The sequence below is a fragment of the Homo sapiens genome, chromosome 1 (genome assembly GCF_000001405.40).
Source record: "Homo sapiens chromosome 1, GRCh38.p14 Primary Assembly".
In the NCBI taxonomy this organism is placed as follows: Eukaryota; Metazoa; Chordata; class Mammalia; order Primates; family Hominidae; genus Homo; species Homo sapiens.
The window spans coordinates 208,802,433-208,829,718 of record NC_000001.11 but is presented as its reverse complement, the minus strand read 5'-3'; the positions used below and the strand labels follow the sequence as shown (position 1 = coordinate 208,829,718).

Sequence of the window (27,286 nt, the reverse complement as noted above, 5' to 3'; positions counted from 1 at the left end):
GACGTTGCTACATTAAACTCCAGATGCTTTCTCACAAGTCACTAAATTAACAACACACACATTTTTGGCCCATTAACATTACACTAAGATCGCAGCAGGATTATCAACCAGAAAGGTGATTGTGTGTGTATCTTCTGTTCTCATCATCTCTTCAGTTTTTACTTTTATAAAATCAGGTCAGGGAAAATGAGGAGAGAAACATAAAGCAGACCCAGTAGTTTGTTAGGAAACTATGTTCCTATCAAGAGAAAAAATTGCTATCCTCTGTCAGCAGGTTGATATGTTTTATGAAGTACAAGTGGCATCTTTTAATGTAAGTACTAACAAAATTACTGTTGGAGGGCTTTTTTAGAAAACTAATATACTTTATGACATGAAATATATTAAAATGTCGGTGTTTTAACCAATGTTTATAAAAATATATTATAGTCATTTATTGAGTTTATAAAGCATGTTATAGACTAACAGGATAAAAGATGCTTTGCAAATAAAGTTGCTATTATTTAGAAGGTGCATCTGATGCCTGAGCTTACTGAGCTTAGATAGGTGGCACATTTGACCTCTTTTAAACAGAAAAGCACTTCATTTTGGAAGATCAATATACTGGTCTCAACAGTAGTCAGCCCTCATTTAAGCAAACTAATTTGTACTTCTATGCAAGTACTTTCATGCAAAGTCTTGTACACCTTGAAATATTTTGGTATCTATCTGAGAAATTGGTTCACAAATCCAGCACTGTAATTGTCTGTTGTCCTGTAATTGCCTGTGTACTCAACTGTAGCCCTCATTAGACTCTCAGCTCATGAATCAGGCTGAGTGCATTGTTTTTTGTTGTGTGTTCAACGCCTGGCTCAGGGCAGGACACATAGTAAACAATCAATAATGCTTATTAAATATGGAAATGAAATAACGAATGAGAGAAGCATAACTGAAATCTGTTGACTTATACTCATCACAAATGTGAATAAGTTGGTGTCTTAGTCTGTTTTCTGCCATTATAACAGAATACCTGAGACTGGGTAATTTATAAAAAAAGTAAAAACAGAAGTTTCTTTCCTCACAGTTGTGAAGGATGGGAAGTCCAAGATCAAGGGGTTGGCATTTGGCAAGGGTCTTCTTGCTGTATCAGACCATAGTGGAAGGCAGAAGAGCAAGAGAGGAAGAAGGGGACAAACTCACTCCTTTATAATGGTACCAATTCCCTCATGACCTAATCACCTCTTAAAGTTCCCACCTTGTAATACGTTAGAATGGCAATTAAATTTCAACATGAATTTTGGAAAGGACATTAAAACTATAGCAGTTGTGTAGGGATAGTGTATTTATTATAATGAATGGCTTTTTCAGTTGTGCTAGCCTTAAAGAATCAGACAGACATTTTTAAGTAACCATTATTAACTGGAGAGCTGCAGTTTCAGGCATTCAAGCTTATTAGCAAAAGACACCTTTGCTGAGAGGAGAGCCCTGAATTCAAGCTGTGACCCCAGGTTCTCTTCCCAGGAAGAAGAGATTGCTGAGTGAGAGGACCTTTGTGTTATACAACTTGGGGTGGAGATCCACAAGACTAATTGGTCTTCAAATGCCAATAGTGTTTCTTCTAAATTCTCAATATCCCTTTATGCAAAACTGTCACGAGGCAGGGGAGGGAAACCCTGGGTGAAATATGTGTCTTGCATTTTAAATGTACATACAACCAGGCTACAGTCCCATTCCCTGCCTTGTCTGCTTCTTCAAACTCTAGAAACTACAAGACCCTTCCCAGAGCCCTGACATCCCCAATTCTAAGAGGATTAAGATGTGATTTAGGCATGGGAGATGATTTACTTTTCTGAGCACATTCAAATCGGGGAAAGATTGGAAATGACTTTTAAGGAGCCAAAGTAACAACCTGCCATATGTGAGTTGCTAAAACTAAACTCAGGCTTAATGGGACTGTAGTTTTTATATGATTCAAAATGAGGCTTATTTGAAAATGCAATAACATTTAGAAAATTTGAAAATTAGAGAAAATTATAATGAGAGAAAATGTTCCACATCATAATCCCACCCCCCCAGATGTAGCCACTGTTTATATTTTGTATTTCTTTCCATTTTATATATCTAAATGCGTGCGCACACACACACACATGCAGATATATGTAAATATATTTTATAGAAAATATGGCCATACTACTGACATTTTTTCTTCTACTTTTTTCACCTGGATTAATTGATAACGAAAGTCTGCATGAAGTTAAAACAAATTTATCCAATAACAGAGATGCTGCCATTGCCAACTTAGACTGAGATATTCCTAAAATTCAAGAGTAGTCTGGAAATCATTTATTTAAACCTCACTTCTCTTTCTGCCTCCATAGATTAGGAAAACAAACTATTTGCTAACATCGCATGTCCTTCTTCTTGTGGGCATGGTGCTCCTTTGTACACAACACAATGTAAGTGTAGAGCAGTGAAGGAAAGTACAGGTTCTGGAGTCAGATGCCTGTTCAAATTCTGAGTCTGACACTTACTAGTTTTGTGATACTGAGCAACATACTCAAGTCCTATATGTTACTGTTCCCTCATTAATAAAAACAGAGATAACAGTGCTCATATCTCAGATTAGTGTTGTAGAAAATAAATGAATGAATACTAAAATGCACTTTGAACAGAAACTGGTAGTGAACATGTGCTCAGTCAGTGTTAGCTATTATCATTATAAATACATATACTGTCTGTACATAGGAGAAAATTCATTTACAAGTTCACGATCATCTTTAATTCCATTCAGAGACCCCCTCAAAAGACTGAATGTATATGTCAACAAAGTGATTTTTCTTTCTTTTTCTTTTTTTTTGAGATGGAGTCTCGCTCTGTCCCAGGCTGGAGTGCAGTGGCACAATGTCGGCTCACTGCAACGTCCGCCTCCCAGGTTTAAGCGATTCCTCTGCCTCAGCCTACTGAGCAGCTGGGACTACAGACACACGCCACCATGCCCGGCTAATTTTTGTATTTTTAGTGGAGACGGGGGTTTCATCACATTGGCCAGGACGGTTTTGATCTCTTGACCTCGTGATCCGCCCGCCCCGGCCTCCCAAAGTGCTGGGATTACAGGCGTGAGCCACTGTGCCTGGCCCACAAAGTGATTTTCCAATCAATCAAAGTATAACCAATTTTTTTTTTTTGATACTGAGTTTCACTTTTGTTGCCCAGGCTGGTGTGCAATTGTGCAATCTCAGCTTACCGCAACCTCCACCTCCCAGATTCAAGCGATTCTCCTGCCTCAGCCTCCCAAGTAGCTGGGATTACAGGCATGTGCCACCACGCCTGGCTAATTTTGTATTTTTAGTAGAGACAGGGTTTCTCCATGTTGGTTAGGCTGGTCTCGAACTCCTGACCTCAGGTGATCCACCCGCCTCAGCCTCCCAAAGTGCTAGGATTACAGGCGTGAGCCACTGTGCCCGGCCAGTATAACCAAATTTATCAATGAACCAGGCCTTGTGGGGTTATAAAGGAAATTTATAATATGGCTTATAAATTTTACTGTAGAAACAAAATTTACGAATGAAGTAGTCCTGATAAATGTTCTAACCATGTATCTAACCATGTGTACCTAACTATGTGAAAAAATTACGTATTATTCATTTTGATTATGGCCCTTAAAGAACATTTATTCTGATGTTCCCCATCCCATTTTGCAGCAGCAGAAACAGACCTGAAGAAGTTACATGACTTGTTTAAGGAGCCTGAACTTGTCGGTTTCAGAACAGAAGGACTATAACCAGAGACTTCTGATTCCCAGCCTGATGCAATTTCCACTGCACAATGGCTACATTTTACTTGACAGGGGTTCAGAGAAAACGGGAAAAGATAAAGATTGAATGATTCAGGAAGAATTTCATGGAAAAGTGGGATTTCAGTTGGGCTTTAGGGGAAAGATTTGGAAATGAAGCCAGGCAGGAGGAGAGCCATCCAGATACGGAAAAAGGAAGAGCAGAGAGGGGCTTCAGCGGAGGAATGGAGAGGGTTGGTTCAGAGGATGATAAGGAGGGCAGGGACACGACATGCTTAACTTTCTGTGACCTACTTTTCCTATGCATCTAGTTTTTACACTGATGTCCCTGGCATAGACCAAGAGATTTTGTCCTACAGTAAAATGAAAGGCAGTAGTATCTACTGTGCTTAGGGCTGGCAGTGGGCAGTGCAAGATTGTGTAATACTATTCTTTCCTCAATTGCAGATACAGGGACTTGAGAGTTCTAGCAAACAGTGGATAGTGGCAGCATGTTTGAGTTTCAACTCTGCCATTTGATACGAGTATGACTTTCAGTAACTCTTTCAAGCCTTCATTTGTCCAGTAGTCATTACAATACTATTTCACTCATGGGTTGCCATCCAAACAAATAACAAAGTACATGGGCTAAAATTTTGGCTAAAAATATTTCCTCAGCTTTTCCCTTCATCATCAGTGACCAGCAAACCAAGCTAATCCTTTAACAACTCAACCCACCTCTCCTAATATCACTAATGCAACTGGGGTCAACCATGGAACAGCTGCACCAAGAAACGGAGAACATTTCTTAGAAACCTCAGCACAGATCACAGGATGTGCATGCATTGCAGTGACTTATTTAAAAAGACAAGATGAAATATTGCAGCTATCAATAATTCCCGCACATGGCTGACTTCTAATGAAAGGATAAAGCTTCTGAGGGAGAGAGAAGAAATGAAGAAAAGGATTTTTATCAATTTCAAAGGAACACTTTGATATAATCCTGAAATTTTTTCTTGGTGAAATATTTTCTTTTATTACCCTCCATCATACAGTGTTTGTTTAATTTCCCCGTTTTAGCAGGTGTATATTTCAGTTTTTAATTTTAAAAAACACCGTTGTTCCTCATTGGTTTCTCCACATCATTTCATTTCCCATTTTCTAGCTTCTTCTTGGAATCGTTGTTGTTGTTGTTGTCAGTGATGAGGAATTTCTTCTGAGACTTTATTCTCTAAAATATTTGTCTGCAAGGGAGAATATGACCACAGGCGATTTAATTTCCCTAGACTTCCATTTCCATATCTGCCAAAAAATGTGTAATTTCTGCTCCTTCCTCCAACACTTAGAAGTATAATAGTACTTCCATCAATATGATTCTCTGAAATGTTTCAGTAAAAATATTATTAAAACTAAAACATCTGTAATGTAATAAGTGGATGTCCAAATATGAAATCTCTCTAGCTGAAATCTCTCAGCTAAAATCTCTCTAGCTGAAATCTCTCTAGCTGCATGGTGGATTTGGCAATACAAGAATCACTTGATGCAGTAACTTGCAACATCTTTCTGTCTCTTCTTTATATTTCTTTTCTGGCTTTTCCTTTGTCTTCCTATGCTAGTCTCCTTCCTCGTCCTTTTCCCATGTAACCAAGGTTTGGCTAGTCCTTCCATGCTCCCTGGGCCTTGGGTAGGAAAAAAACAGTAAACAGTATGTAGTATACCACTTTTCTTTACTTTTATTTTATTTTATTACTTACTTACCTACTTACTTGAGACAGGGTCTTGCTCTGTTACCCAGGCTGGCGTGCAGTGGTGCAGTCTTTGCTTACTGCAGCCTTGACCTCTGAGGCTCAGGCAATCCTCCCACCTAAGCCTCCCGAGTAGCTGGGACCACAGGCACACACCACCACGCCTGACTAATTTCTGTATCTTTTTGCAGAGACGAGGTTTCACTGTGTAGCCCAGGCTGGTCTCAAACTCTTGGGCTCAGGTGATTCACCCATGTTGGCCTCCCAAAGTGCTGAGATTACAAGCATGAGCCACCATGCATGGCCTACTAGACCATTTTATATAAGGGACTTGAGCATCTGCAAATTTGGGTGTCCACTGGAGGTCCTAGAACTGATTTCCATGGATATGAAAGGCCAGCTATATTTTTTCTTTCTAGCTCTACTCCTACCAGGTTCATATGGGCATGGGAACCTCACTTGCAGGGGTCATCTCCGCTATGAGTCTGAGACATGACCTTCCTCCCCAGTCCTCAAATTAACATTTCACGAATAGGTTTTGTTAGTCTGGCTCAGTTCTAGACATCCACAAAAGTAGGGGTACCTGGGAATGAGCCATACTTTGAGGTGAAGGGCCCAGTCCTCCAGACTGACAAGTCTGCCCAAGATTTCTGACCCTGCAAGTTCAGGAGTTGTCCCAAACTACCCTCAAGCTAAATAATCCACTAGAAAGAGTCACTAAAAGGACTCACTAAAAGCTATTATACTCATAGCCATGTTTATGACAGGGAAAGGATACAAATGAGGACCAGACAAAGAAAGAGACACATAGGGTGGAGTCTAAGATGGTTCTTAACACCAATCCTCCATCATCTTCAGGATGCACTGCCCCACTGGGCATTGATATGTGACAATACGCACAGAGTATTGCTCACCCGTGAAGCTCACAGAAGCTTTGAATCCATAGTGTTTATTGAGGTCTCATGACGTAGGTTGAACTCAGTCTCCAGGTCTACTGATACTTCCTTACCAAAAGCCTCCACCCTCGAATCATACAGTCGGCCTTTCTGGCATCACCAACGTCCTACCCCCTCTCTCAAAGACTATCAGGTGTGGCCAGCTTCACCCTGAGTCATCTTATTAAATCAACTCTTAGGTGTGGTCTCAGTGGCCCACCATGAAAAACAAATACTTACATTTTATATATATTTTTAAAGCTTGCGAAATTCCAAGGGTTTCAAGGTTATCTCCCCATAAACCAAGGGCACAGGCCAGACCTCTATTTAGATGTAGCCAGATTCATTACTTCTCAAGGGGTTAATAAAAGTGAAAAATCCACAAGAGCCACCATCATGGTCACCTGCTCTGTGGAGTAAGTCCCAACCCCTTGGATCACTGCTTGTACTTTGTAAAGGATCAAGTTTTTTCTAAATAGGGGAGTGATACAGAACAGTTGCCCTTACCCAATAAATATTTACTTAAAACAATATTAAAATCGTTTTGAAGTTCCATATCTCCTGTTTTCTGGCACATTAGATTTTGTGGTAGCTAGTATTTCATGGTGTTTTTAATCTAATAAGTCCTCTGTTTAATATTCTCAGTAGAATTCACATTTTTCTTTAGAAATTTTCTACATTTGAGGATAGTATTTGCAACCACAAGGTGAGTCACTGGAAGGTCTGTTCGTTGACCAGATATGGCTGTTCTAAATCCAACACAGGTGTTTTCTAAACAAAAATTTTCATGAATAACATGTTTTTTTTCTAAACCATTCCATATAACTAAGAAACAGAAGGAACTGCTGTAAGTTTTGGAACTGTAACATTTTATTTGGTTTTGTCTTAACAGTGCTTTCCACATCTTAAGAGTAGCCTGAGTTTTAAAACATTTCTACCCGTTAAGGACAATGGTAGGAAACTCCTTTTTAAGTAGAAACACTAGTCCAAATGTTTTGTTTGTAACACAGCACTCGTTGTCTTGAAAGTGTTTTCTCTGTTAAAAGGAGCTTGTAATATGCATCCACGCGTAACCATCTGCATCTTCACAACACATCAATTGCTTGTATATTCACAGGTGGTGATTGACTGATTCGTGCATGTCCATGCAATTTGGCGCATTCAGCTGCGTGCTTGCGGATGTGGATGTATTTCACAGAAGCAGGTTGGGCAATAAATTTTGAAACTTTATCCTCATCTTTGGATAGAATAATAAAAGTCTGTAGGCTTAAGAAAGCAATATTCCCTGGAACTGCAATATATGGGAATGATGAAACTGTACTAAAATATACAGTAATCTCTAAGGCCTACCCAAGCTAGAGAGGTGCAAAGTGAGAGCTATAAACCAAAATTTAACACCCGCCACACTAAAAGTCATTTTCGGCCTCTGACCAACTTCACACGGAATTGGGAAATATGACTAATATCAAGGCCTGATTCCCTGGGGGGTTGGGGGTGGGGGGGTTAAAAAGGAATATGTCGGGGAGAAAAGCAATGGCCCATTGTTAGTTGAACCAATGACAGGTCAGCACAGGCTTAACACAATGTTCCATGTCTCTCCAGCAGCAGCCTGCCTTCCCTTCCCTGGATTCCATCTGCTGTGCGAAACAAGATCTGCAGTCATTCCCAGGTACGTGGGACTTCTCTAGGCTAGAAGGTCTGTACAGCACAGACCAAGGAACTTCCTTCCTATGAGGTTTAGTTTAGAATACAGGAGAGTCAACTCTTTCCCATGTTGTGACGTTTACCATGTGCAATTTACTGTCGGACAAGTTAACCAGACCTGCATAAAGAATATCCAAAAAATCTGATCAACATAGTCAGCTAATCTATAGCACTCAGATCCATAGTTCTTCCAACCTGTATAGCCAAAGACTGGAAATTTTTATCCCATTTTGTTCTTTTTCTGATTTTATTGGATAATAATATTGAATTCTAGGACTTGGGTCGCTTTCCTTGTTTTCTGGTTAATTTTTTTTTACAATTTTCTTTTTATTAATATTATCCAGATATGGAACTATATATTGCAAACCTGTTTTGTGACTAGCCTGACCATCTCTTTCTGTGTCGCACCATTGATTAGACCCACTTTTGATGATGGTAGACACAGCCACACATGACTATCAGCTCTGGTTAATGTCCCTGGCTTATTTCAGGATCATTGCCATGACAGAAACATGTCAGTAATAGGTGGTTTCCACTGAACAATGACTTGTAGACTGTGGCCATGCAAGCAGAGCAAAGAGAAAAGATCAGCAATTATCCAGTGGATGTGATCCATGCTGACAGGCAATCTGGATAATTCAAATAGAAACAACTTCTTTTGCCTCACTGGCAGGTTTGGGGCTGATTTAGTGAGATCATTGTTTAACTTTCTTTGCCTGTGGAAATGTAGTACGTGTGTTTGCTGGTTAAGTGAGGGTTTGGGGGTTATAACCACAGCATCTGTTCATTTGACATTCAAGTTTCACTCTGGTTTGGAAGCCCTTGTGCCTACAATTTAAAAGCAGCAATACACACCTAACTCCCAGCTGTCTGGGAACTCAGACTGCATATGCTTCTTGGTTTTCTAATCTGCCCAGAGAAATAAAACCATCACCTGAGCCAAAGAATAGTTTGCCTAATTGGATTTAAAACAAAAAAAAATGTAGAGACACACACAGTGTGTTCTAATGTCGCAGTTGTCTGAGCGACATTGCTAGCTGAGCCAGACCACTTACCTAGACTTGAAGATTTACATTTTGATGATGTTTTTCAAGTGCTATTTTATCCAGAGGAAGAAAAAGCAGTAATTTAAGCAGCTGCAGAATTCCTCACACATCTGCAGGAAGTCCCTCCTTCTGCCTTGGGCAGCACAGCATAATGGATAGACCACAAACTTTAGAGTCGATTTGACCTGGTTCAAATCCCAGCTCCAAAACTCATTAGCAATATTATCTTGAGCAAGATACTTCATCTTTTCCAGCATCACTTGCCTTATTTATAAAATGTGGATGACAACCATTTTGATAACTTCAAGGCTGACTTGAGGATTAAAGTTTATGTATTCAATGCACATCTGTTGATTGCCTACCATGGATCAGGCACTGTTCTGGGCACTGGAGAAATGGCAGTGAACCGAGCAGACAGAAACACTGCCTTTGGGGAGTTGATAATTTATCAGGGGAGATAAACAAAGACAAGATTATTAAGGAGAATAAATAGCAGGTGAGATGGTGGTAAGAGCCAGAGAAGAAACATAAAACGTGGGAAGGGGGCAGGGAATGATGGTGCAGAGAGAGATGGAACTGTGATGGGGAGTTATAGAAGGCTTCACTGAGAAGTTGATCAATAAAGAGGTGAGAGAGTAGGCTGTGGGGATATTTGGGAGAAGAGTGACTTGGGTTGAACTGTGTCTCCTCAAAGAGATAGATGAAAGTTCCAAAGACCAGTAATTCTGAGTGTAACCTTCTTGGGAAACAAGGTCTTTACAGAGGTCATTGAGTTTAACATGGTCATTAGGGTGGGCCCTAATGGAATATGCTGGTGACCTTATAAAAAGTAGAAATTTAGACACAGAAACAGGTACAGAGGGAAGATGATGTGAAGACACAAAGAATGCCTGCAGTGTGCCTGGAGTGATGTTACTACAAGCCAGGGAACACCAAGGATTGCTGGCAAACACCAGGAGCCAGGAGAGGCGAGGAAGAATCCTTGCCTAGAGCCTACAGAGGACGGATGCCCCTGCTGATGTCTTGACTTCAGACTTCTGGCCTCTAGAATCATGAAGCAATAAATTTCTGTGATCTTACGCATCTGCTTTTGGTACTTTGTTGTGGCAACTCTAACAAACTAATACAAAGAATGTTTGGCTGAGGGAAAAGCAAGTAGGAAGGCCCTGAGCCAGGTGTGTACCAGAACATTCGAGAATCAGCAGAGACCAGTGTGTTTGGAGAGGAGCAAGCAGGGGGAGCAAGTAATGAGAGATGAGGTGAGGGAGGCAAGCCGTTGCAGACTCCGCATGGCCTTTGAGGCCACCTTCAGGTCTGTGCCTTTACTCTGCATGATGAGAAAAGCCATTGGCAGTCAGGAGGAAAATGCTCTGACTTACATTATAAAATTATGTATGTAAAGTGCCTCCTGATTGGCAATTATTATTTTTTCTCCTTCAACCTACTTCACGTCTGATAAATATGGGTTTGGGGGTGAAGAAGGCAATGTTTTTAGTATTTATTATTTCTGCAGCTGTTCCTGTGCTATGTGCTGTTGAGAACTTGTACTCACACTGATTGCCATCCTTAGACGTCTCCAGTGACAGATAACTGCACTATACCCGCACCACATAAATGTCATTTATCCAGGTCTAATGCAAAAAAGGATGATTCATTTAGACGTATATGTTTATTCAGTTTTAATTCTGCCTTGCATACGCATTTTTTTTTGCTTTTCTTTAGAAAGATAATGAAACTCTATTGGTTTCCACAGGGCTGGTTGATCATTTCCGGATAAATAAGTAAGTTTTGGAAAATAAGATAAAAATGTAATCTTTGATTGGAGTGTCCTTGGTTGCTAGAGATGCCTGGGTTATTGTTGAGTGAGTGATATAAAGGAGAAGTGCTAGCAGAAAGGAGATGCAGCTCTTAAGACAGAAAATGGCATAGAAGTGTTAACTGCAGTGGGTTGGGCAAGATAATGAATGCTAGGACATTACTTCATTCATTTGACTTGTATTTATTGAGCATGCACTAAATGGCAGACACTAGGTTAAACACCAGATACTAAAAAGTTAACACATCTGGTCTTATCCACAAATAATTCCCAATATGTATGAACAAAAAGGAAAAAACACAGAAGAGGGAGATCCTTCACTCTCCTCTGGTGTTGGAGAAACCATGAGGCAGGAGGAGCATGGTACCTGGAGAATGTATTATGGGCAGCCCAGGTAGTAAGTTGTTCAGGCCAGCAGCCAGAATGAGGGGCTCCAGAAAGATGGAAGTTGAAATACAGTATGTGACTGGAAAACACAACATGGCAGAGAAGATTCTAGGAAGTGCTGGGTGATCCAGAGAAACCAGAGGGACATCTGGAAAATGTCTTAACAATAGCTGGGCCCCAAGTCACTGATATTCAGGGGAATAACTCCACTCCATGGAGATGGTGTGGAGGGAGGTGATGAAGGCGCATGATCGGTAAGAGAACAGTAAGAACAAACTGGTCATATTCTAAGTGTGATGTATATTCTGCTGGTTACTAGACCAGGATATTGACACAGGGAAACAGGGTGGAGAGTCAGTTTAGAAACCTGAACATAGATGGGTTCAGGTTTTGGAAACAAAGCAAGTCCCCATTTATAATGTGTGAAGAAGGTCAGCCAAACTCAGAGTGAGAGATTGGAGGCTAAGCCTGGATTTATCTCACAGCCTGGGGTAGGGGTGTCTGCCCCTGAGACCCTGTTGGTTAGCTGTGGGGAGAAGGAGACTTCAGGCAATCTTATAGGACAACCAGGAATTGCAGGACTGCAGGTTAAAACACATGATCCACATAAAGTCGAAAAGAAAGCCCTGCCTATAAAATCACGGGTCTCGACCACTGCCCTGCTCCATTATTTCTGCCACCAAAGGCCATCTAAGTTGGCAGAAAATTGGCTGCTTTATGCAAAGTGCATTTCTATCCTCCTGGTGAAACCAGAGAGAAAAGGCATTACAAAGTCTGGGATAGGTGATGAGCCCTTAGCTCCAACTTAATCCTGCAGTTTCATTTTTACAGGGGAGGATCTGAGATCCAGAGGTGTTATTTGGTTTAACAAAATTTCAAAAGAGAGACAGAAAAAAAAAAGACAGCTGCACTTCTTTCTGGTTTGTGTCTTGATTTAGATTTTTCTCTTTTTCTCAAATGGCTGGAGAGGAGAAAGAGAGTCTTTCAGATGTAATCACTATAATTTGAACAACTTCTTGGTTTTCTTTTGGTCTAAAAAGCAATTCTAGAAAGTAGAGTCACATGTTTGTGGGCTGATAGTAACAAATGAAAAACATCTCCAGAGGCCGGGCACGGTGGCTCATGCCTGTAATCCCAGCACTTTGGGGGGCTAAGGCAGGAGGATCATGAGGTCAGGAGATCGAGACCATCCTGGCTAATGCGGTGAAACCCCGCCTCTACTAAAAATACAAAAAATTAGCTGGGCGTGGTGGCGGGCTCCTGTAGACCCAAATACCTGTGAGGCTGAGGCAGGAGAATGGCGTGAACCTGGGAGGCGGAGCTTGCAGTGAGTGGAGATGGCGCCACTGCACTCCAGCCTGGGCGACCAAGCGAGACTCTGTCTCAAAAAAAAAAAAAAAAAAAAAAACTCCAGAGACTGAATGAGAAATTTCTCTCTCTCTCTCTCTCTCTCTCTCTCTCTCTCTCTCTCAGAGGCCACCAGAAATACCTGTACTATTACTTTTATAAATATCCCAACCTGCACAACCTTAGGCAAGTCACTGAAGTCACCTAGGAATCATTTGTAGAAATGAATGGCTTGAAAAAAACTAATCTCTAAAACCTTTTTTGATGCTCAGTTTCTAAAGTTCTGTCCTACAATGTTGCCATAAAAGTAAAATCAATAGTTACATTTTCACATTGACTGCAACATTTCTGGAAAACCATGCTTTTGGGGGTTTAAAGACGAATGTCACTGATAATTGGAAAACTTTCTCATTTTCGTGAATGATCTTCTCCATTTGCTCCTTATTGCTCATAAATTGAAAAAGTTGCCTTGAACTTCAGTTTTATAAAATGTGAGCATTAGCAAAAAAAATGCAGATATTAAGGATGAACACCATTAGTGCTCCTTTTGCCTTTTCTAGTTTCATTGTGTGAGTGTTTACAGTCTGCTGGTGAGGCGAATCCATCTCACTCTGACCCTGACCTTTGCGTAATATTTATTGGATTAGAAAAAAATAATTCACAGAGTAATAAAGATATCTGTGCATGCATTTATTATACACAAAACTGTGCTTCATTTTGGAAAATCTGTCCCAAACCTAGTCAGGCGAATCAGCCATAACAAGGTCACTGCAGACTTAGCAGAATGCCCTACAGATGTTTTTTTTGTTTTAGCTCGGATTGCAGCCATGGGATGAGGAAAAGGAGAAGCAGGGAGGGTTGTCCAGAAGGAGAGACACTCTACCAGCACTGTGTGGATCAAATAAAAATATTCAAGGTGACCTTGGGACAAGCGGTCTGTTACATCAAGGTTTAACAGAGATCCACCTTGATTCCCAGAGGCAGGGCTCCTACTCACTCTCCTTCTTCCCTTTTGCCTTTCTGTCTCCTTGGTTGCTTGCTCCTTTGTCTCTCACGCCTCAAAAATAATCCACAGATTCAAACCTTCTTTGCAGTTCCTGGAGATATCATTCCAGGCCAGGATCTCTCCCCCTCATACCTTGATGCCTGCAACCATCTCTGAGTGCCTCTCCTTGCTCTACCTTGCTCACAAATCTTTCCCACATAAAGCTTACAATAATATTTATCTTACGTACTGCGTTCATTTGGCTGCTTCTTATATTATGAATCTCAGAGATTTGCTGTTACTTATTGGTTCAGATCAATAGTTTTCATTCTACCGCTTTCAGTCTTCTATCCATTAGCCTTCTACCTTTCTAACTAATTTATTTCAGGGAGTTCTGCAATCTGGTTTCTTCCCTTCGGTAAGATTCATCTCTCACCATGCCCCAAATAGAGCCGTCCCTCCTTATCCTCAGGAAATACGTTCCAAGACCCCCAGTTGATGCTTGAAACCGAGGATGTTATGGCACCCTATATATGTATGCTGTTTGTTTCTTGATCTCATGACCTAGAGGGCTACTTAGTGACTAAATGGGCAAGTAGTATATACAGCATGAATATGCTGAACCAAGGAATGATTTGCATGGGACAGAGCAGGAAGGCATGAGATTTCATCACAGTGTGCAATTTAAAATTTATAAATTGTTTATTTCTGGAATTTTCCAGTTAATATTTTCAGACAGTGCAACTGCGGGCAACTGGAACTGCAGAAAATGAAACTTTACGTAAGGGAGACTGCTGTATGTGATTTCTCCCAACCCCCACCATTTCCTAGCTATGTGCACTTATACGTGTTTTCTTTTTCTTTGAATAACATCCCACTTTCCATCTTCAATCCATGTAAGTCAATTTCTTTAAATTAAGCTGAAGAATAATTTTCTCTATGAATTATTTTATGTTTACCTTAATCAATAATTTTTTATTTGTTTAATTAATTTATTTTTTAATGTTTGGAAGAATTCACTTGTTAAGACATCTAGACCTGGATATTTCTTAAACAGGGAGGTTCTAATTACAGATGCAATTTCTCATATAAATACAGAATGTTTCAGATTTTTTATGTCTTTTTGTGTTGCCTTTCCTGTTATTTTTCCACAAATCTGTTCATCTTATTTACACTATATTTACGTCAAGTAATTGTTCCTAATATCATCTATTGGATCAGTAGTGATATCCCTTCTCTTTCTTGTTATTCTTGTTATTAATAATGTGTACCTTGTAAAAATTTTAATCAATCCTTATTAGAAACAAATGTTATTGGTCTTCTCAAAAAAACTTTTGGTTTTGTTTATTTTCCTTATTATATGTTTGTTTTATTAGTCTTATGTTTATTATTTCCATCTATCTCCTTTCAATTTACTAAAGTTTTATCTAACTTCCTGAGAAATTACTCAAGTAATTTTTGAAGATTAATTTTTAGAATATTTTCTGTTCTAGTACATGCATTTAAAGCAACAAATTTCCCTTTAAGATGACTTTGGCTGCATATTATAAATTTTGATAACATTTGTTTTTATAAAAAATTTAATCTATTTTCTTTCTCTCTCTGTGTGTGTGTGTTTATGTATGTTTGTGCATGTGTGTTTCTTCTCTTTTTAAATCATTTCTTGGATTAATAAAAACTACATGTATTATTACATTGTATCCTTCTATTAGCCTGTTAGTAATATATTATTTCACTCTTCATTTAGGGATTACTCTTAAGTTTAAAACATGCATATTTGACTTATTAGAGTATGATATAAATTAATACCTTTACCATATCCCAAACAATTCTAGAAGCTGAGAACCTTCAGTTGAGCCTATTACTCCTTAATTTTATGCCATATTTGTTAGGCATTTTAATGCATATATATTTTAATCTCCTAAAGACATTATTATTGTTGTTTTACTCTTTCAGTATTTATTTGGATTTACCTTTTTATTTATTTTTTCTGATGCTCTTCCTAAAACCAACACAATAGTCCCATAGATAGTTTTTTTGGGTAAACATAGAAATTGACCCTTTTTGTCTTAAAGCTTGAAACTTACATTTGTTTTAACTGAGTTTCATCTTTAGGAATGGACCCCCAGGCCTCTCAAAAAGTATCAAAGAACTAAAACCCACAAGGTTATCTCATCTACACAATGAGAGGCCAAGCCCCTCCTTCATCATAATTGCTTCCTTAACCCTATGTAGTTCCTATTTTCCCATACATAGTTACATTTCTTCCCTGCTATATAAACCCCTGATTTTAGTCAGTCAGGGAGGTGGATTTCAGACTGATCTCCCATCTCCTCGGCTGCAGCATGCGATTGAAGCCTTCTTCCTTGGTAGTAATTGTTGTCTTGGTGATTGGCTCTCTGTGCAGTGGGCAGCAGGACCTAGACCAAACCCCTGGTGTTTTAGTAAAATTTATTTTAATAAACATTGTTATGCTTTGTGTTGGGATTCTTTTCCTTTGGTTGAATAAGTACTACTTTTTTTTAAGTAAATATAGAATACTTGGGATTCCCCAGTTTGCATCAAGATCCATTTTTAATGACTTTTCCAATGTGTCTGCACTCTACCTAAAGGTACCAGGATTTTACAATGGCAGAAGCGGTGCCCCATGCTTCTGCTCTCCCTACAAGTGAATCCTTCCCCGACCCCAGGTCGGCATCTCTCTCTTACTGATTTCCCATCTGCATACCAATTGTTTCTCATGTCAGCTACTTCCAGACACCAGACCCTCATGCCAGAACTCTTCACTTTACTGGACGTCCTGATATTAATAATAACAGCAATGATGATAATAGTAATAACAATAAACATTTGTCATGTATTTATTATGTATAATGCTCTGAGCCAATATTTCATAGATATATTATTTAATCCATACAGCAATATTCTTGTCTATGCATGTGAGAACCAAAATTCAGAAGGGTTAAATAACTCATCGAATGTCATACAGTTGCTAATAGGAGCTGCTTAAACTCGAGCCTAGTGTGTCTAGTTGAAAGCTGGGTACAATTAATGCTATTCTGTCTCTCTGTGTTCACTTCCTGCTGCGGCTGTGTCCACACACCCTAGGCCACGTTTCACTTGCGTGACTATTTACTCCCTAGTATGCCCCTAACTTGGGCCTTGAAGTATCATCCCACCTCAGAGCCTGTGTCCAGTCTGTAAGTCCAGTCTGTCCATGTTTTGCCTATGCCACTGCCTCCTCACGTCTAAGCTCATAATCTGCTAACAGTGAGCTCATCCCTCTAGGCCAAAGGTTCTTACCAGGAGTTATTTTGCTTCTCAGGACACCTTTGGCAGTGTCTAGGGGCACTTTAGTTTGTCACAACTGCGAAATGGGGAACTATTGCTTTCTAGTGGGTAGAGGACACAGGGGTGCTGTTAAATATCCTACAGTGCACAGGACAGCCACCACAACAAGGATTATCCAGCCCAGAATGTCAGTAGTGTTGAGGCTGTGAAACGATGATCTAGGCAACAAGTATTTATTGAGTATTTACCATGTGCCACCCACTGTGCTAGGTATGGGGAATAAAAAGTAGACATCGTCCGGGCTTGGTGGCTCATGCCTGTGATCCCAGCACTTTGGGAGGTCGAGACAGGCAGATCATGAGGTCAAGAGATCGAGACCATCCTGGCCAACATGGTGAAACCCCATCTCTACTAAAAATACAAACATTAGCTAGGTGTGGTGGCACGCGCTTGTAGTCCCAGCTACTCGGGAGGCTGAGGCAGGAGAATCGCTTGAACCCAGGAGACAGAGGTTGCAGTGAGCCGAGATCACACCACTGCACTCCAGCCTGGCGATAGAGTGAGACTTCATCTCAAAAAAAAAAAAAAAAATGTAAACATAATGCCTGCTAATGGGGAATAGAGATGAGTAAACAGGTAATTACCAAGCAGTCGGGAAGGAGCTTTTTCACCATTGAGGCTACTCAGGGGACCACAGTAGTACCAAGAAATGGGACTGACTCAGACTTAAAGAATCAAGAAAGGCTTCCCTGAGTAAATGACTTGTGAGCAGAGATCTACAGGGTGACTGGTAAAATGTGAGTGATGAATGTGGTGAGGAGAAGATGAATACAGGAAGGGAAGAATTAGAGACAAACACACCCGAAAGGTTCCTGAAATGGAAGAGAATGTGGTATGTTTTAAGAATTGAAGGCATTTCATTATAACAAGAACAAAAATGTGGTGGGGGCAGGGGGAGTTGTAGCAAGATTCCTGGATAACAAGCTGGTACCATATCACAATGGGCCTGATAAACCCTCGTAAGGATGATGGACTGTTTCCTAAAGGCAATGTTAAAACATCGCCAGCTTTTAAGCAAGAGGGTGGTGTAATCATAGTTACAATTTCAAAGGCCATTGTGTCTTCAGTGTGGAGGACGTATTGGAGAAGAGAGACAGGCAGGGCAGGAAGAACTATGTTAGACATCCTATTAACTCTTGCCTCCTCGGAGATATTGCTCCACCGATATCTAGTATTTAGGAGGCACTTACATTCATCCAGGCAAGAGATGGCAGTTGGTTAGACTGAGATTGAAAGTGTAGGTGGGTTCAGATAATGTCAAAGGGGAGAGCTGGCCAGCCTCGATGATTACCTGGGTATGGGAAGAGGTGGAGAAGGCGAGAGAGGAATCCAAGACTAGGGCCAGGATCACAACTTCTTTGTTCACCACTTATTTCTTGCATATAGAACAGTGCCTAGCAGGTGGGAGGCACTCCATAAGTATTTGTTGGTGTTATCATCTGCAAATTATGTTATTGGAGAAACTAGGTACAAGCAGCACCCCTGAGAAAGCAATACACAGGACTAGGAACAGATTGGGAGATAGGAAGGGGGAGGAGGATTTGGGGCATGCATACATTGACTTTAAAGTGTCCGTGGAGACACTTTGGATACTAGAGACTAGAGCTCAAGAGAAAATGATCTAAGTTGCAAATAAAGATCAGAGAGTCATCAGCAAAGATGAAACCCTGTAAGTAGATGAATAACTCAGGAAGAGAGTTGCACGAGTAGAGGAAAGCCCAGAGAAGACAACTGAGGAACAACCAGATATAAGGAGTAGGAAAAGGAAGACAGATCTCAAAGCCATGAAAAAAGAGTGCCTAGAAAGGTGCTGTGCAGCTTACTGGGGTATAAGAGTGAGTAGGGTGAAGAAAGAAAATGCAGCATATTTCAATACTAAATTTGCAGGCAAGATGGAAAGGAAATATTACGGGGGTGTCTGAAGGATGGGGGGCTAAAGAAAGACTCATTTTAAGACATTAAAATCTTGAGTATCTGTTAATGGAAATGGATAAGAGCCACAGAACACTAGATACTAGATATTGGTGGAGCAACATCTCTGAGGAGGTGAGTCAATAGGATGCCCAACATAGCAGGAGGTAAGAACGCTGAGCAGGCGAAGAGGCACCTCATTATTTGCAACCAACCAAAAGACAGGCAGAGAAAACAGGCAGAAACTCACATAGATAGGTCTGCTGGCAGGAAGCTGAGCGGCTTCTGGTGTTTTGTGCATTACACAATTGCTTATGTAATTCCTGTGATATTGTAAAGGGAGAACAAAAGTATTCCACATTGAACTCCTGGTCCACTTTCAGGAACCGCACTAGTTTCTGAGAGCATCACCTCCATTTCATAAAGATCAATAACACAGTGAATCAGCAACAATGATCATTGAAATCTAGAAGACTTACAGATTTCTTTTTCCTTTAGTTATTTTTCACATCCCTGAATAGAAAGGTTACAAGCAGAGGCTGCGAAAGCTGAACAGCTGGATAAAGACTGCATGATAAGGAGCAGTGGTTCTCAAAGTGTGGTCCCTGAACCAGCAGCATCAGCATTACCTGGGGACTTGCCAGGCATACAAATGTTTGTGTCCCATCCAAGACTTGCTGACTCAGAAACTCTGGAGGTGGAGCTTTGTATTAATCTCTCAGGTTTTCTGTAGCTAATTGCCACGAACGCAGTGGCTTAAAACAACAGAAATGTATTGTCTCAGTTCTAGAGGCTGGAAGTCTGAGATCAAGGTGTCAGCAGGCCATGTTTCCTCTGAAAACATCAGGGGGCATCCTTGCTTGCCTCGTCCAGCTTCTGGTGGTTCCAGATGTTGCTTGGTTTATGACAGCATAATGTCAATATCTGCCTCCATCTCCACCTGGCCTTCTCCTCCATGTCTCTTCGTCTCAAGTCTCCCTTGGCTTTTCTTTTACAAAGATACTTGTCACTGGAGTAAGGGCTCATCCTAAATTCACTATGGTTTTATCTCAAGATCCTTAATTATATCTACAAAGACTCTTTTTCCAATAAGGTCAAATTTACAAGTTCTAGGGGTTAGGACTTGCACATATATTTTTAGGGGCCATTATTCCACCCACTACGATTGTAGTACTCTGGGTATTTTCTGTTTTGTTTTCTGAGGTGACATTTTGCTATGTTGCCGAGGCTGGAGTGCAGTGGTTCTCAACCCTGGCTGCACAGTGGAATCACCTGGAGGGATCTTTTTAAATTCCTAAAAAGTTAAACACAAATTTTTTAGCATGGAACCCAAAATTCCCCAAGTGATCCCAATGTCAGTCAAGTTTGAGAACCACTGGTATAAAGGAAAGAATATTAGCGGAGGAGTTAGACAAGCCTCAGTTCCAAAGCTGCCTCTTTGTCTTATCAGCAGAGCCTGCTCTTCTGTAAAATAGAGATAAGCATACCTACCTCATATGATTATGTTACTTTTTGTGAAGATTAAACAAAATCCTCCATGTTAAGCACTGGGATTTTTAGCCATGTTATATGCTGTATGTCTTCAGGGCTTCATTCACCCATTAGCCTGGTGATTGAAGCATTCAAAATGACTTTCTGCTGAGAATCTTGGTTCTGCCTGTGGCATTCTCTCAGCTCACCTGATGACAGGTGGAATGGCTTCCTTTTAGGTATTCTCCTTGCAGGCCCCTCAGCTTTCAGAAAGGAAGTTATTCCTGCATGCCCCAGCTCAATGTCCTCTTATGTCATAAGAATTTCTATTTAATTGGCCACACAGAATATCTGGGTTTTAGTTATTTTCCAGGAAGAATCATTTTGAACTCATACTCACTCACTATTTATTAAACATTCTGTCGAGCAAAATACTTTCCGGGAAGATGGCTTAAAATATTGAAGACATTCTAACTTCCAGACAATTTAAGCTTTTTCATTCAAAAAAGGAAAAGAAAAAAATAAGAAAATAGTATTGCTTATCTAGCATCTAAATATCAGGGACTAGAGATATTGTGATAGTTTCAGTTGTCATGTAGCTTGGAGTCTAGTCAGGAAGACAAAAAAAAAAAAATCAAGTCATACCACAAACACATGAGAAATCGCAACCTTGGCAAATGCTGTGAAGGAAGCTTACATGATGCTATGAACCTCTAACAAGTTCAGACAGAGTCAGGGAGGTTAAGGTGGCTCTCCCACAGATGAGGGTTAAGCTGAGATGTCAAGAATGACTAGGAATTAACCATGGGGAGGTAGAGGGGGAGCATTGCAGACAAAAGGAATTGCAAGCTCAAAAAAGCTCTGTGGCAAGAGTGTATTCTTTTTGCTCCAATGTTCTTTGCTTCTTGCCTTTCCTTCCTTTTCCTTGTTACTTCATGGTCTCAAAATGGCTACCACAGCTCCAGACATGGAGTCCACATTCAAGTAGAAAAAAGGGAAAGGAGAGCAACACTAGCTCTATCTGTCCCTTTTATCAGAAGTCAAAATCTTTTCTAGAAGTCCCCCAGCAGGCTTCCCTTTTATATCACTGGCCAGAAAGAGGGCAAATGCTCATACTTAAGTCAATCCTTGGCAAAGAAGAATAGATCAACATGATTCGTCTAAATCAGGAGATCTCTTCCTTTTATTCCAAGGTGAAATATGACTTTTCTAAGCAAAGATGCTGTTGCTGCAGGGATGCTATTGTAGGCTCTTAAAAGTGTCTACCACTGTGGCTATGGCAGTAGTCCAAACACAAGATGGGGTGATATTTAGGAAGTTACAACAGCAGAGCTCATGATTCATTTACCACGAGGATAAGAAAGCAGAATCATCCTATGCAGCAAGTCACCACATGAGCTCAGGTAAGGAGTATGGCTCTGCCAAAAGCAGAGTTTCTGAACTTAGGCTTAGTGATATTTTGGACTGTATAATTCTTTGCTGTGAGTGGCTATCAAGTGCACTGTAGGATGTTCAACAGTCTCCCTGACCGCTACCCACTCAATGCCAGTAGCATCTGCCCAGCAGTGACCAAGTCTCCAGTCTTTGCCAAATGTTCCCTGGAAGAAAAGTCATCCCCTATTGTAAACCACAGCCTTAGAGAATTCCTCCTACTGAATATGACTATGAGTAATATAATGACAGGGCAGGGCTAGTGGGAGGCAAGGGAGGTACCCAGGGCACAGAATTTCAGTAGGCACTTGCACAACCCTGACAGTGGATGTCTCCTTAAATTTTGTGCCTTCAGAGCCTCACTGGGCTCTCCCAATATCTGACGGTGTAGTAGTAGCCCATATTTCAACAAAAATAAACATTCTACTTGTTGTTTCTTGTTCAAGGATGTGTTAAAGACATTGCCCTTTATGAAACACAGAGTTCTGTTTATGAGAAAACCCAGGAGAGCTCCTGCCCATTTTTTGTCCAGAGAAGAGACATGTTTTTCCTAAGCCACTAATTTGCTTTTATCTGATGAATGTTGTAAATGGTGTAATCTTTTGTTTTCCTTTTTGCATTGATTGTTATTAAGTTGTTTCCCCCTTTTTTGTGACATTGGCTCCTATAGAACTTGAAAACCAAATTTGTGGCTTACTTCAAGTTTGTAGAATATTCATTCTAGCCTTATTCCTGACTATATTTTAAGTTCCTGCCTTTGTTTTTCATTTCCATTTTGACTCAGTTTTTATTGGTGTTATTTTACATTTGATGTATTCTTATAAAATACCTTAAATATGTTTGAAACTAATATCATCAAGTACCCAGCATGGGGCCTGGCACGCAGAAGACATTTGATACATAGAAGTTTCCTTTCTTCATGTTGAGATAGAAAAGTGAGGCACTGCGTGGGACAGCTGTTTGTAATGGCCAAGTGCTCTAGAAGTGTAAGAGTAAAGGCTTCCAATAAAATCCAACACTGTTTTATTTTTTAAAAGTCTAGTAAACTAGGTATTGAAGGAACATACCTAAAAATAATAACAGCCATGTATGACAAACCCACAGCCAACATCATACTGAATGAGCAAAATCTGGAAGCATTTCACTTGAAAACCAGCACAAGGCAAGGATGCCCTCTCTCACCACTCCTATTCAACATAGTATTGGAAGTCCTGACCAGAGCAATCAGGCAAGAGAAAGAAATAAAGGGACTGGGTGTGGTGGCTTATGCCTGTAATCCCAGTACTTTGGGAGACCGAGGCGGGCAGATAACGTGAGGTCATGAGTTCGAGACTAGCCTGGCCAACATGGTGAAAGCCTGTCTTTACTAAAAATATAAAAAATTAGCCAGATGTGGTGGCATGCACCTGTAATCCCAGCTACTTGGGAGGCTGAGGCAGGAGAATCGCTTGAACCCAGGAGGCGGAGGTTGCAGTGAGCTGAGATCATGCCACTGCACTCGAGCCTGAGAGACAGAGTGAGATTCCATCTCAAAAAAAAAAAAAAAAAAGAAAAAGAAAAAGAAATAAAGGGCATCCAAATAGGAAGAGAGAAACTCAAACTATCCCTGTTTGTAGATGACATGATTCTATATCTAGAAAACCCCATAGCCTCGGCTCAAAAGCTCCTTCAGCTGATAAACAACTTCAGCAAATTTCAGCATACAAAATTAATGTACAAAAATCACTAGCATTCCTATACACCAACAGCCAAGCCAAGATCCGAATCAGGAAGGCAATCCCATTCACAATTTCTACAAAAATAATAAAGTACCTAGAAATATAGCTAACCATTGAAATCCTTACAATGAGAATTACAAAACACTGCTTAAAGAAATCAGAGAAGACACAAACAAATGGAAAAACATCTGATGCTCATGAATAGGAAGAATCAATGTCATTGTAATGGCCATACTGCCCAAAGCAATTTACAGATTCAATGCTATTTCTATCAAACTACCAAAGACATTCTTCACAGAAATAGAGAAAAATGATTTTAAATTCCTATGGAACCAAAAAAAAGCCTGCATAGCCAAGGCAATCCTAAGCAAAAAGAATAAAGCTGGAAGCATCACATTACTTTACTTCAAACTATACTACAGGGCTACAGTAACCAAAACAGCATGGTACTGGTACAAAAACAGACACATAGACCAATGGAACAGTACAGAGAACCCAGAAATGAGGCCACACACCTACAACTATCTGATCTTTGACAAAGGTGACCAAAAAAAGCAATGGAGAAAGGACCCCCTATTCAATAAATGGTGCTGGGGATAACTGGCTAGCCATATACAGAAGATTGAAGCTGGACCCCTTCCTTACACCATATATGAAAGTCAACTCAAGATGGATTAAAGACTTAAATGGAAAACCCAAAACTATAAAAACTGTGGAAGACAACCTAGGCAATATCATCTTGGACATAGGAACTGGCAAAGAATTCATGACACAGACACCAAAAGCAATTGCAACAAAAGCAAATATTGACAAATGGGATCTAATTAAACTTAAGAGCTTCTGCACCACACACACGCAAAAAACTATCAACAGAGGAAACAGACAACCTACAGAATGGGGAAAATTATTGCAATCTCTTCATCTGACAAAGGTCTAATATCCAGAGTCTACAAAGAACTTAAACAAATTTACAAGAGAAAAACAAAGAAACCCACTAAAAAGTGGGCAAAGGACATGAACAAACATTTTTCAAAAGAAGACATACATACAGCCAACAAACCTATGAAAAAAAGCTCAATATCACTGATCATTAGAGAAATGCAAATCAAAACCACAATGAGTTACAACCTCACACCAGTCAGAATGGCTATTATTAAAAAGTCAAAAATAACAGATGCTGGCAAGATTGTGGAGAAAAGGGACCACTTATACACTGTTGGTGGGAGTATAAGTTAGTTCATCCATTGTGGAAAGCAGTGTGTCAAGTCCTCAAAGAGCTGAAAGCAGAGCTACCATTCAACTCACCAATCCAATTACTGGGTATATACCCAGAGGAATAGAAATCCATTCTACCATAAAGATACATGCACAAGAATGTTCATCACAGCACCATTCACAATAGCAAAGACATAGAATCAACCTAAATGCCCATCAATGACCAATCGGGTAAAGAAAATGAGGTACATATACACCATGGAATACCATGCAGCCATATAAAGGAATGAGATCCTGGCCGGGTGTGGTGGCTCACGCCTGTAATCCCAGCACTTTGGGAGGCGGAGGTGGGTGGATCCTAAGGTCAGGAGATCGAGACCATCCTGGCTAATGAGGTGAAACCCTGTCTCTACTAAAAATACAAAAAATTAGCCAGGTGTGGTGGTGGGCACCTGTAGTCCCAGCTACTTGGGAGGCTGAGGCAGGAGAATGGCCTGAACCCAGGAGACAGAGCTTGCAGTGAGCCGAGATCGCACCACTGCACTCCAGCCTGGGCGACAGAGCAAGGCTCCATCCCCACCACCCCCCCCAAAAAAAAAGAGGAATGAGATCCTGTCTTTTAGGTAACATGGGTGGAGCTGGAGGCTATTATCGTTAGCAAAGTAATGCAGGAATAGAAACCCAAATACCACATGTTCTTACTTACAAGTGGGGGTGAAATGATGAAAACTCATGAACACAAAGAAGGGAACTACCGACACTGGGGTCTACTTGAGGGCGGTGGGTGGGAGGAGGGAGAGGAGCAGAATGATAACCACTGGGTACTGGGTTCACCACCTGGGTGATGAAATAATATGTACAACAAACCCCCGTGACACATGTTTACCTCTGTAACAAACCTTCACATGTACCCCCAAACCTAAAATAAATGTGTTTAAAAAAAAAACCAAAAACAGTAACATTTGGGATGAGAGTGGTTTCTGAGAGTAGTTGCTACAAGCAACTTGCAGCAAAGATTTTAAAAGTGCATCCACTTCTCCAGGAAAATAACATCTAGTGGTAGATTTTTGACCTGTGTCTTTGTTGATCTAAGTTCTCAGGGGGTTAGAGAACTTTCATAAAGCCTACCGCCTACACCCAGCCCTGAAAGCACTTATTAGCCTGTGTTCAAGTGCCTTAAGTGTCATCCTCCTTCACAAGGGGCACATGTTATGACTGTGGGTTGTGTTCCATTTTCCAAAGATAACATTCAAGCAGAATGACAAAGAAGGATAAGTTAAGAAGCACTTCGAAATCTGAAAGCTGTGGTTACATTAAGTGAGAGAACAATGAGCCTTGATCAGTAACGACAGAGCGAGGTGGGGGTGGGGGATACTCTAAATAGCCTCTGCCTCTTGCAGTGAGACTATTGCATTTTCATCGTAATTATTACATCTTGGCAAGAGGCTCAGCAGCCTGTTACCCACCTCCCTGATGTCAGGCTGCTCTCCCACTCTGCAATTTTGAAACCTGGTTGGCAATCACACCCTGAAGAGCAGTTCTAACAACGCTGCAGCAAACTTTCCCCCACTTGAAATCTTCAATTATATATGTATAGACTAATGGCAATCAACATCCTACCATTTTCTCCCTCTGTCTTTTTTCTTATTGCCATATCATTAACTTCAACAAAATTAAGTTAGCGACATTTAGTCCTCAGAGAAGCCAGGGGAATAATAACAGATGGATTAGAGTAAAGGGGATAAGGCAGAGAGAGGACAGTTTGACTTCCTTTTAGAAAAGTTTGAGCTACATAAAGACATACACACGCACTCACACACACACAGACACATACACACACAGCATTAAACTGTGCAGAGAAAATTTCAGCCCACGGTGAGCTGAGCTACTAGAAACCCCTATGATATTAAATAGCCACTTATTCTTGGGGAAAATGTGTGGGGCAAGATGAAGTTATGTTTTGTACAGTGTGAAGCATTGAATTATTTTTCCCCTAACATTTGAAGGACTTCGCAGAAACATGGCATCTGGGCTTTGTTGGTGCCCAATGCCAACAAAGTCAGGCACCCTTCAAAGGGTTTATTTGGCTTTATTCATTCTGTTGTTAGAATTAGCCTCAAAAATCTGGTCTGATTGCACTGAATTAGGGAAAGTGACTTGAATAGTAGGTATTTAATATGTGTTTACTGAATTGAATTACAGTTTAGTGTGCCTATGTTTCAAAAGCAAAACAGATAAATAAGAGAGGATGTCATTTGAAAGTAGTTCTCCAAAATAAAGATCTTCTAAGATTTCACAAATCTATATTCCTAGATGGGTATCAAGAGACCAGAGTTTTATAGTATGGATATAGCTTTCTAGAGTTTATAAAGCAACTTTCTTTTACCTAACTTGTATAAATTTTACAACATTCCTGTGAGAAAAGTTTTGTTATCCAAGCAAGGTAGATATTACTGCTGCCCTTCTAGCTCATG

The 27,286-nt window shown here is 40.4% G+C and overlaps 1 long non-coding RNA gene across 2 annotated transcripts in view, besides 1 other annotated feature; it reads left to right on the top strand.

Annotated features, from left to right (window-relative positions):
* The window catches only part of LOC107985255 (uncharacterized), a 313,794-nt gene extending 303,530 nt beyond the window's left edge, over positions 1 to 10,264 (top strand). Inside the window, exons 2-3 of one of the 2 annotated variants that reach the window (XR_001738442.2) lie at positions 7,549 to 7,635; positions 8,037 to 10,264. This is a non-coding gene — a long non-coding RNA (uncharacterized LOC107985255). Of the gene's footprint in view, positions 1 to 7,548; positions 7,636 to 8,033 lie in introns of both variants that reach the window. The other variant, XR_001738441.2, reaches the window with a different exon arrangement.
* Positions 26,796 to 26,965: an enhancer, noted in NCBI's record as "experimental_2428 CRE fragment used in MPRA reporter constructs". NCBI's record gives its function as "activates a minimal promoter by MPRAs in K562 erythroleukemia cells, with activity observed for both the introgressed and non-introgressed 1:208976184 variant alleles {active_cell/tissue: K562}" and the evidence as "EXISTENCE:reporter gene assay evidence [ECO:0000049][PMID:34662402]".